This window comes from Homo sapiens, chromosome 11 (genome assembly GCF_000001405.40).
Source record: "Homo sapiens chromosome 11, GRCh38.p14 Primary Assembly".
Taxonomy (NCBI): domain Eukaryota; kingdom Metazoa; phylum Chordata; class Mammalia; order Primates; family Hominidae; genus Homo; species Homo sapiens.
The window spans coordinates 25763889-25776114 of record NC_000011.10 but is presented as its reverse complement, the minus strand read 5'-3'; the positions used below and the strand labels follow the sequence as shown (position 1 = coordinate 25776114).

The following is a 12226-nucleotide window of genomic DNA, read 5'->3' as shown; positions in this document are numbered from 1 at the left end:
GAAGGATTGAAAGAGATTTTGATTTGTTAAATAAATTATAGACCCTTCATTTACCTTATCCCATTTTCCCTCTAGTTGCAATACTTAGAAATATAAATAAGATACAAGAGTTAGAAACTACCACAAGTTAACTAGCCCACATTATAATATTATTTTGTAATAATTAAACATACTTATTTCTCACTTGTAATACAAAGCAGAAGGTAAGAGCTGAAGGAATACTCTGAATGAGTAGAAAATCTTCCGTAAGTTTTCATTTCCTGCTCTGACTGAGAAAACACATCCTTCACAATCTGATTCCTCCACTGAGGCTGACTCATTCTCCTTAGCAACATGGAATAGAAATGTCTCAGCTAATTTTGCTATCCATCTAATGTGGCTAGATATAACTATTCTGTCCCTAAATCTGTCAAATCATCAACTTGGATACATTTTTATATCTGGGGAAGATAGAGTCTTAACATGAATAAATGTAAGTTCTGAAATGTTTGGATTGATTTTTGAGGCAGAATGCAGACTGGTGGAATGGGATTTTAATTGTCCTGCTATACACTAAAATTTTACAAGGGACCAAAGTCAGACAGCCAAGAGTTTGAATCATAACTCCATCATCTGCAGTGCTATGGCTGTTAAAGTGCTGGTTTTTTCCCTCAACATATAAAATATTGAGAAAATGCCACTTGAGGGATTGGCAGGATTAAAATCTGCTTTGTAGTGGAAATCTTGTAAAGGAGCTAGTCCTAAGAAGAAAAACGATGCTGTCAAATGCAGTGTTTTCCTCCATTTCGTTTGTATTTAAAAGATGTTGATGTTGGAAGTTGGTGGCAATAAAGCTAGGGTGAATTCTCAAGTCAGATCTTTACGGCTGAGAGGTCTAATAGTATCTAAAATCTTTTCCTCAGCGTGAGATTCATAGTAACAACAGGAGGAATTTATGCAGACCTCTCCTCTCTCATCAAAGCTGAAAAAACTGAGTACATGGAAGGAGAAGAGACTTGCTGAGATTCCACAACCAGAGACATTAGAGGGAGGCCCACACTGGGTTATTCTTATTCCCCAGGTGTGCATTTTTATATTTACCATCACTGTTCCTCTGTTTCTTGGATAATTGCATAACCCTTAAATCCACTTACATTATGGAAACACAAATGTCTCAGCATAGCTATTCAATCCACGTAAAGTATTCTTGGAGCAGTGTGTCAGTTGGAGATAGGCAACAAAGTGCAGAAATAAAGATAAAAGCTGGTAGTAAATTTCTCTTCACTGATTAATCTATGAATCTACAACAGAAGAGAAATAAAATTTCTCTTCTTCCCCTATTAAATTTAATAAAAGCCTTTATTCTATTTGACAATTTTAACTTTCTTCTTTTTTTTTAAAAAAAAGTACAAACATTTTCTTGTTCAATATGTGCCACTGTATTAAATGATGAACCTCTAATTAAGTAGTAAAGCCAGTCACAACTTTTACAAGTATTCTTTCATGTTACTGAGGAAAGAAAAGGGTCTGGGAAGCCTTAGTTGAACTACACATTGAGACAATATATTGGAAAAAATAATTTTATATATCTAAAATTAAAACATTCATATTCTTTGGCTTCATAATATCCATGGAAAGAAATTTACCTTTCAAATATAGTCTCAATCCAAGTTCTCAACCTTCAATTCTCAGTTGAAATACAAACACACACATATAATCATAATTATCAGGGATTTTTATTGCAAAATTAATCTTTGTGATTAAAATCACAGCATTAATTCATTCTAAAACTTTTCTTTGTAACTATAGCATTTAAAATAAAAAACTGATTGTCGGTGAGGATGTAGAGAAATTGGAAGCTTTTCGTACTTTGCTGGTGGGAATGTAAAATGCTGCAGGTGTTTTAGGAAACAGTCTGGCAAGTCTTCAAATATTAAACGTAGATTTATATATGTCCCAGCAATGCCTAGGTATATGCCCAAGATAAATGAAAACACTCATAAGTATACATGCAAGATAAGTGAAAACATATGCTCATGCAAGCTATATACCTGGATATTCATAGCAGCATTATTCGTAAGAGCCAGAAAGTAGAAACAACCCCAAATGCTCATCAGCTAATATATTAATAAATATAACATGGTAATATTATTTGACAATAAAAAAGAAATGAAGTACTGGCACATGCTAAACCAAGCTAAGTCATGAAAACAAGATGTTAAGTGAAATAAGCCAGTCCCAAAGACCACATATTGTATGATCCATTTATATAAAATGTCCAGAATACATACATCTATAGAAACAAAAACTACATTATTGTTTGCCCAATTATATATAGACCTTGCAATCTGACTCTTAAGAAACATTTTTTTAAAATTATTTTTAAGATTGAGGGAGTGCTACCCTTTTATAGCTGAAATAACTAACTACAAATTACATAGTTGGTTTGTTCATTTTTTTATGTTAGATTGCATTATCCAGAAATTTTACAACAAAGTTAATTGTCATAGTAATTGTGGTATATGGGCAAGATAGGGATAAGAGCCACACTTCAGAATAATTTAACAGTACTTCAGAGAAGCGATTTGTCTAAGGCCTCACTTCTAGCACAAGTTATGAGTAAAACCTGATCACAAATTCTTTGCCAATACTCAGTCGACTGTTGAATTTATATGGTATAGAAGTTATTCACCCCTTCCATAATATGTAGGGCAATATGACCTTTAAAAGACTTTCTACATCTCAGAATTTACGATCCTGTCATTTCACTTTTTGTTACTTGGAGGTTCTAATAATGCTGAAAGTGAGGATAGACAGAGGCTGAGAACAACCTTCAAAATAAATGAAAGTTGAATGCTATACCCTTTCTGCAAGATGAAAATTGTCCGTACATGGAAAGTAGGGTATGTAGTTCTAAAATTTTAAACCTGATATGAGAAAGATCCTCCAATCTTTTCTCATTGAATTCTACTTCTCTGGTCCTAAAATAACTATTTCTAAGAAGAATAAATACTCTTAGTATAAAGTCCAAAATTAACTGTTAAAATAAGTGAGAGATTAAATCAACCTACATTTTATTACAAGTATATTAATATTTTATTTGAATAACATGAGAGGATGCAATCTGGGTGTCTAGAATTCCCTCCCTCAAAATCCTGACAATAATATTAAAAGCTTGAATGAACTGATCTAAATATGATCTAAGCCTATACCTTGGCTTAAATCAGGCCATGGACTCATGCCAGAATTGGCACAGAGTCTAAGGAAAGTAATATGCTCGAAACAAAGAGATAGATAACCAGATGTCAGGCTTCTGAGAGCAGTGGTGGTGTCTGATACATTTTTATAACCCAAGCAACTTAGTTCAGGCCTGGCACATGGCTAGTACTCTGTATTTAGGGCTTTAAATTCAGGGATCCTGAAAGAGAGTTACGAAGTTCTGTGTCTCAGGAACATCCAAAATGTAGAGGCATAGAACCATTAGAATGAGAAGGAGGAAAATTGAGGAACCTATGATCATCAAAGTACATATGAGGAAAGTGGCAAACAGAGACAATTTGAAACAGAGAAGTGAGAAATACAAAAATATTCAGAGACAGATACTGGGAGAATATACATTGAAATGCTATTAGTCTCATGGCATAATTGCTTCTTTCTTTTGCTTTTTATTTCTTTTTCATTTTTATATTAAATACTTAATTTTTTTAAAGCAGTTTTAGATCATAGCAAAATTGAGAGGAACATTTAGAGATTTCTCTAATACCCCCTGGTCCCACACATGCATATTTTCTCCCATCATCAGCATCCCCGACCAGTGTACAGTCATCCCTCTGTATCTGTGGAAAATTGGTTCCAAGACCTCCTTTGGAAACCCAAACCCAAAGATGATCAAGTCCCTAATACAAAAGGGCATAATATTTGCATATAACCTATGCATATGCTCATGTATACTTTAAATCATCTCTGGATTATTTATAATATCTAATATAATGTGAATCCTATGTAAATTGTCATTATGCTATATTGTTTAGAGAATAATGACAAAGCAAAAAGTCTTCACACGATCAGCACACACATACAATTTAAAATATACATTTTCTATCTATAGTTGGTTGAATTCACAGATGTGGAACCCATGGATACAGAAGGCCAAATATAGTACATTTGTTACACTTAATGAACCTACACTGACACATAATTTATCCAAATTTCATGGTTTACATTAGTGTTCACTCTTGTTGCTGTATTCTCCATGGGTTTGGACAAATACTTAGTGACATGTAACTGCTATTATGGTATCATATAGGATAGATTCATTGTGTTTAAATATTCTACGCTCTGCTTATTCGTGCCTCTCTCCCCATTAACCCCTGACAAGTGCTCATCTTTTTCCTGTCTCTGCAGGTTTGTCTTTTCCAGAATGTCATATAGTTGGAATCATACGGTATGCAGCCTTTTCAGATTGACTTCTTTTCACTTAAATATACGTTTAAGTTTACCTCATGTCTTTTCATGGCTTGATAGCTCTTTTCTTTTTAGTACTAAATAATATTTCCTTGTCTAGATTTACCACACTTTATCTATCTATTCACCTACTGAGAGATATCTTGGTTGTATTCAAGTTTCTGCAATTATGAATGAAGCTGCTGCAATATAAACATCCTTGTTCAGATCTTTGTGTAAACATGTTTTCAACTCCTGGGGGGTAACAAGGAGTGTGATTACTGGATCTTTTCTATTTTAATTTCCTTTTGATATTTGTATAAAGTGTCTCATGTGAAACATTATATCACTGTGTGCTCCATGATCTAAGCTCCGCCTTCCTCTCTTCCTTTATCTCTTTTCTGAAGTAGCTCCTTGCCAAGACATCCACACTGACATTCTATTTCTTTCTCAGGTATACAAGAGTCTTCCATCTTAAGCCTTCTACTTACTCTTCCCTTTTTCTGAAAAACTCTTACCTCAGTTTTTTTTTGTTTTTTTGTTTTTGTTTTTGTTTTTTTTGTGGTTGGATCTGCTAAGTTCTTCAAATCAAAGAAATGGGCACGCATGAGGAGATCTCCTTAGCACTCCATCTAAGGAGCCCATTCCATCATCTCCCACCTCCAGTCAGCATCTGTGAAGTTACTAACATAATTTTTTCATGGCACCTATCAACGATGATTTTTAGTTTACTTAGTTATTACCTTTATTTCAGTCCCTGAAAGAAACTTCACAAAGCAGGGACTTTGTCTAACTTGTACATTCATATATGTCCACACCTAGGATAATATCTAGCTCCCGCTAAATGATCATGAAGTGATTGCTGAATAAAAATGAATAAATACATATTTGCTGCAATTTTTATATTCTGTTCAAGTAAATTAGAAGAATACCGATGTATTAAGATACAAACATGGACACTAAGGAAGACACTCTAGTGTTTAAGTTGCATCCTCTAGCATGGTTGTCTAAATGTACCAAATTGATTTAATAGTTGTTCAAATAACTATCTCTGAAGTAAAATAAGGGCTTCATTAGTGGGACTATGGTGGGAGTGGGTAGGTGAGGATCAGTATTGTTCTTACTCTGGCTGAAGTCAGGTCCAGTTTGGGAATAAGCACTTTTGATTGTTGTGCCTAGAACAGAGCAAAGGATGCATGATGCTGGTGTTCAGAATGGGGAGCTGTGAAACAGAAAAGACAGAGTAAAAAGGTTTGGAAGGTAGAATCTGGATATGCCTTCTAAGGGAAAGTAGCAACAAAATAATAGCCTCTCTTGTCATTGGTGAGCAGCTATTACTTGCTAGGCATCTTGAATAGCTCATGTTAGTCTTGCAACAGACATTATCTCAATCCTTATAACACAAACCTAAGACAGAAGCAATATGATTACCTCTTATAGAGGTTAGATTGGTATAAAATTAATCTATGCAGCAGTTTCCTATTAAGGTTGGCATGGAGCTAGGAATATCTGCTAAGGTAAAAATCCAGTATCCTTTATCTACCTTTATTCTGAAGGTTGTGATAGGATATACTATGATGGCAAAATTATGCTTTCTCCCTTCATTTGTCTCAAATGCATATGAGGCTGTTTAGTTAGTTGTGATGGAAATCATTTAGAAACAACAGAAATCCTCTTTGGTAACTTTTCTAAGACCTCTTTTCCTCTAAGCAAACATTAGCAGAAAACAGCATGCTTTCATTCTCTTGTGATATAATCTGAATCAACCTAATCCACTAAAAAAAAAAAAAAAATCTCCCTGAAGCAGTCCACAAGAGAGGAAAAAAGGTGAATCAACAATGCAGAAGAAAAAAATAAAACTGTTTTTTTCTTCTAAAAATTTCCCCCTCTCTATTTAGCCATCCAGTTGATTACCCATTTATACTCAAACTCATTCTTAGCTTGGGATAGAGTTTACCATTAAAATTGAGAAATGTAATCAACATGGACCTGGCATAGATACATTGTCAAAGTGATTAAAATGCCTACAAAAGTTACATAGAACCACGCTCACCCTTCTGTCTGCATTTTCTATTAACTCCCCTCGTTTAAAATCTGTTCCAGAAACAGCATTTTCTTTGCTGTTTTATAAATATACTAGATATGCTTTGTTTGTATGCCTTTACTCCGATTCCCCACCCCCAACCCTTGGCAAGGAATGTTCTTGCTCAGATACCCACATGACTCACCCTCTGCTGTTCTTCATGTCTGAGCTCCACTTTATTTTTTATTTTTATTTTTTATTATACTTTAAGTTTTAGGGTACATGTGCACATTGTGCAGGTTAGTTACACATGTATACATCCTGGTGTGCTGAGCTCCACTTTAAGCTTCCAAAAGAGGCCCTTCTCTGACTATCCCTTTAAAGTTACAACTCATTCCTCCCCTTCAACTTGTTCTACTTTTCTTTTTCCATAACATGTATTAACTCTACTATACACTATAGTTTATTTATCATGTTTATTGTTTTCTGTGTGTCTCCACCCCCTCCTGCTAGAATATAAGCTCAATTAATACTGGGATCTTTATCTTCTTTGTTCCTTGATGTATCTCAGCTCCTAAAACAGTGAGAAGTTCACAGTAAAGGCTCTCAGTTGCATGATGGAATAGTGAATAGCTTTCCTTTGGGCTAAAGAGCAAGTACTGCCTAATCAGATAATAATTATGACATCTTAAAAAGTCCTTCAGAAAAAGATGTGAGAGATACGAAGAAAAATCCCCAGCAGTGGTCTCTAAGATCAAGATGTAATTTTTCCCCTGAAAAATTGCAGTGCCTTCTGGGCTGAAAAAACAGACTGTCATCCCACTGAAGAAATGAGTTCTTTCAATACAGGCACAAAATTGAAAGGAAAATATATGAGCAATGTAATCTGAGCCGCCTTTAGAGTTTTTTCTCCTAGAGACTGCTTATTTTAAGAGAAAGAAAATGAGAACACAAAATATGAATTTTTTATGTATTGATATCATGGTAAAGTTCAGTGTTGGTTTCAGTACTGACTCTCCAACACACACACACACACACACACACACACACACCACTCTACACTCAGGATTTCATTGGTAATGACTTAATTAACAAACCGGTAATCTTATCACACCATTATATTTATACATATGACCTATTAGATAGCATAAATTCATTAGATGTATAAACACAGTAAAATCCCTTTCTACAGTCACAAATTATTAATTATTGTGACTAGGGCTGAGATAATGGAAATGTTAATGTTCTGACTATCTTGGTCTGAGACAAAGAAAAAGTTCTAACTACCCTGATGCCTGCAATAGTAACCTTGACACAATGTGAATTTCAAGTTTGCTTTTCCTGTCTACTTCTGCAACCTGTACACTAGATTTTATTTATTTATTTATTTATTCAGATGGCACAATGTGCTCACATATTCTGACATCTCCAGCTCAGTAGTCATGAAACAATCTGTTTTGCCAAGGAAAATAAATGCAAAGTGTGTGGTCACCACTTCTTTTCGTTGTATATATGTAAGTATATGTGCCTGTGCTTTCTTCCTCTCTCCCTCCATCCTCCCTCTTTTCCTTCCTTCCTTCATGTTTTCCCCTTCCCTTCCCTTCCTCTCTCTCTCATTATAGAATAACTTGTAGTTTCACTGAGACTTCTTTTCATAGTGACCAGATTCCTGATCCAATTTATTGTCCAATCACTTATACCCTCCCTGTAACAAACACATATAATAATTTATTTCCTGACTTAAAGGATGCTAAAAAGTAGCTTAAGACATGTAGCACAAATGTATGAATAATTAATTAATAGCAGAAAGTCCAGAGTGTGGTGGATGTGATATAGGTAGAATTAAGCATTGTGGTATAATGATGATGATGAATATAGTAACTGGAGAGTATTTAAAATGTACTATACACAGTCCTATGTCCTTTACATGTAAGTCTCTTAACAGCTTTATGAGAAATATGTTGAAACAATTCTCATTGTTCATGTGAGGAAACTGATAACATAGATGTTAATCAACTTGCCAAGTTTACATAGTTGGAGACAGATAAAGCCAAGGTTTCAGTCCAGATCTATCTGCCTCAAGAGTCAAAGCAAGCTTTAAATCGCATTACTTTGGATGAGAAGTAAAATAATCAGAAGTAGCTCCCTGTAAAGCTAGAAATTGAGTGGTCCTGAAAGTCATTAAAATTTAGCTTGGTAGAAAGGACAGGAAAGAAAAATAGAAGCCCCAGCTTAAGGATAGTAAAGTCAATTTATCACCTCTATAACATAACATCATCCTACAGCTTTCCCTTAGCCAATGATTTTAGAGACCAGCACAGGAAGTCATTTGAAAGTTACTATAAATAAATATTTCTGCTTCAATATTTATTTTTGCTCACCATGAATTGGATGAGGAAGAATTTGTCAGAAATTAGGTTTATCAGTATGATCCAATATTACAGAAGTCCCAGGGTTACTGAAAAAGATTTGAGGAGAAGGGTTGATTCCTTTCTCTCAGTCTCATTGTATAAAAATAAAAAAGAAAAATTAACTCACCCTATCTAGCTAAGTGTATGAAATCTTATTTCAGTGCCTGAAGAATTCATCATTTGTCAGACCAGCTGCATTTCTGTACTGTTTATAATCTAAACCAATGCAAACAAAATTTTTAGTGGAAAAAACTGAAGAAGCAACTCAGATTAATGAACAATGTTGTAATGGGCAAAATGTAATAAGTTTAAAATATGAGTTATAAAGAGCTTAAGGAAGATGAGACATGATAAAGTTTTAAGAGGCAAACACTGGCATTTAATGAGTCACAGGTTTGTTTGCATTAGTGATGGTAACAAGGCTATGAACCTTCAGGAGGAAAATCAGCAACCATCGCCTACTACCAAGCTACATTCACTAGTGCAGACTACTCACTTTCGTCTCTACCACAAAAAAAAAGTCTATTTCGAGTTGGCTATTTTGCATTAACAAAAAAGGGGATTTTATTTAGATATATTAGCATAAGTTGTGGCAAACTCTGCATACTATTTAAGAGGAAAAAAGTTTTCCTTGGACTAAGTAGCTGGCACAATCAACCTGGAGATAAAATAACATGAAACTTTATGCTTTGCCCTGTGGTTAGTTATGAGCATACTGCACTACCACATCCCATCACAAACACACACACCTGTTAAATTCCTTGAAGTTAGTTAATATCTTAATAGCATTTATAGTAGTAGCCCCAGTAGCCAGAAACACTGGTGCATACGTTGTATGTGCTCAACATGAAAGAAATTAAAATATTTTCTTCTGAGAAATACAGATTTCACACAAATATTGTGAGTGCTATTTTGATAGATTAAAAATGATCTTAGCTTCTAACACACAGGAGAAAAACTGTGAGAGGAAGAATAGCCTTTATTCTTCTTAGCCAAGTGTTCTTTCCAGAGCTGTATAATGTCCCTAAGTGATCATGAAAATATTTTTGAACGGTAACACTGTCTTCTTAGCTTTTATGCATCAGATCCCACCTTGTTTATGCACTTAAATATTTGCACCCATTGTTGTCTTTAACAATAAAGGCTTTATCTGAATTCACCTAAATGTCATGCAATTCAATGGTTTTCCATACAAAAATGGGCAAATGAGAACACTTGGATTCCATAGCAGCACTGGGTGACTCTGACTTTGGCTTAATAATTCAATTAGAAGGTAAATGAAGGATGCAATAATACAAAGCACCATGATTCAGCTATGATGATCACAGAACATTTTCTAAATGCTAATGTCCTTCCTTTGTGAAATCTCAAGAAGTCTTTTTGAAGTACTTTGTCTTTACAATAATTTTCAGTTTATATTGTTCTGTGGTTATTTCATGCGTTGTCTCTTAAACACACTGAGTATACAAGCAAATAACATAATAGATGAAAAACACAGGTAACAGAAAAATGTGTGTAGATGGCGGAAAAATGTGCTAGAGTGACAGTTAATTTTGGGCGTCCACTTGACTGGATTAAGGGCTACCTAGACATCTGGTAAAGCATTATTTCTAGGTGTGGCTGTGAAGGTGTTTCCAGAGGAGATGGGCATGTGAGTTGCTGGAATGAATGGGGAAGATCCACCCTTAGTGTGGGTCTGCACTATCCAATTGTCTGGGGACCTAGATCCAATAAAAAGACTGAGGAAAGACTAATCTGTCTCTCTCTCTCACTCACTCTCTTCCCCCCCTCTCCCCACACACACACAAAACAAACAATTAAAAACCAAAAAACTAGGTCAGCCTTCTTCTATTGTCCTTGGACATTAGAATTCCAGGCCCTCCAGCCTCTGGACTTGTACCTACCCTCCCCAACTCCCTGTTCCAGGTTCTCAGGTCTTTGGCCTACTAATTTCTAGCATAGCCCTGAACATTTTATGGTACACTGGAAATTCTATAATTGAGGAGTTCCTCCACTACCTTGTATTGTCTTGGTTGATATAATAGTGATTGTAGTTAAATATTTACTGCATAGTTATATGGGCCTTGAAATCCCAATATGACTTCATGCTGTAAGGATATTGTATGGTTGAAAGAAATTCTAGAGATAAACAACACCAAGGATAATAACTAAGTAGCAATACACATTCTTGAATTGATTTTTTGAGCTACTTGGAGAATTGTGTTGAAAACCCTCTGAAGCACTCGCAGACTTAGAAGGATAGACTGTTGGTAGATGTTAGTGATATCAACCATGGTCATAGAAGAGGATATTTGTGACCTAGGCACCGGATATTTGATGTCACATCCTTTAATTTTTAAAAACAAATTTTTATTAACATAAAATTTGCATAATATAAACTTCATTATTTTAACTATTAGAAAGTGTACAATTAATTGGCTTATAGAATATTTGCAATGCTGTATAATCATCACCACTGTCTAATTATAGGACATTTCCACCATTCCAAAAGAAACTCCTTGCCTTGTCATTTCTCCCTTATCCCCATCTCCTGGCAACCCCTGATCTACTTTCTTTTTCTATGGGTTTGCCTATTCTGGATGTTTTATACAAATAACATTATAATATATTGTCTTTCATGTCTGGCTTTTTTAACTTACCATAATTTTTTATAATGTTGTAACATGTTCAGGACTTAATTTCTTCTTTTAACTGAATAATATTTCATTGCATGGACACATCATTTTTATTTATTTATTCATTAGTTACTGGATTCAGTTACATACTAGGCAATTGAAGTTTTCTTTTTTTATTATCATTATACTTTAAGTTTTGGTATACATATGCGGAACGTGCAGGTTTGTTACATAGGTATACACATTCCATGGTGGTTTGCTGCACCCATCAACCCATCACCTACATTAGGTATTTCTCCTAATGCTATCCCTCCCCTATTCCCTCACCCCCTGACAGGCCCCGCTGTGTGATGTTACCCTCCTTGTGTCCATGTGTTCTCATTGTTCAACTCCCACTTATGAGTGAAAACATGCAGTGTTTGGTTTTCTGTTCCTGTGTTAGTTTGCTGAGAATGATGGTTTCCAGCTTCATATGTGGCTCTGCAAAGGACATGAAGTTATTCTTTTTTATGACTGCATAGTATTCCGTGGTGTATATGTGCCATGTTTTCTTTATCCAGTCTTTCATTGATGGGCATTTGGGTTGGTTCCAAGTCTTTGCTATTGTGAAGAGTGCCGCAGTAAACATATGTGTGCATGTGTCTTTGTAGTAGAATGATTTATAATCCTTTGTGTACATACCTAGTAATGGGATTATTGGGTCAAATGGTATTTCTGGTTCTAAATCCTTGAGG

General features: G+C 35.0%; 1 long non-coding RNA gene across 3 annotated transcripts in view; it reads right to left on the bottom strand.

Annotated features, from left to right (window-relative positions):
* LINC02699 (long intergenic non-protein coding RNA 2699) overlaps window positions 1-12226 on the bottom strand; it is a 470852-nt gene that overhangs the window by 148337 nt on the left and 310289 nt on the right. The window contains exon 2 of one of the 3 annotated variants that reach the window (NR_183692.1): window positions 5547-5644. The exons of the other annotated variants lie outside the window; for them this stretch is intronic. This is a non-coding gene — a long non-coding RNA (long intergenic non-protein coding RNA 2699). The remainder of the gene's footprint in view (window positions 1-5546; window positions 5645-12226) is intronic. 3 annotated transcript variants of the gene reach the window in all.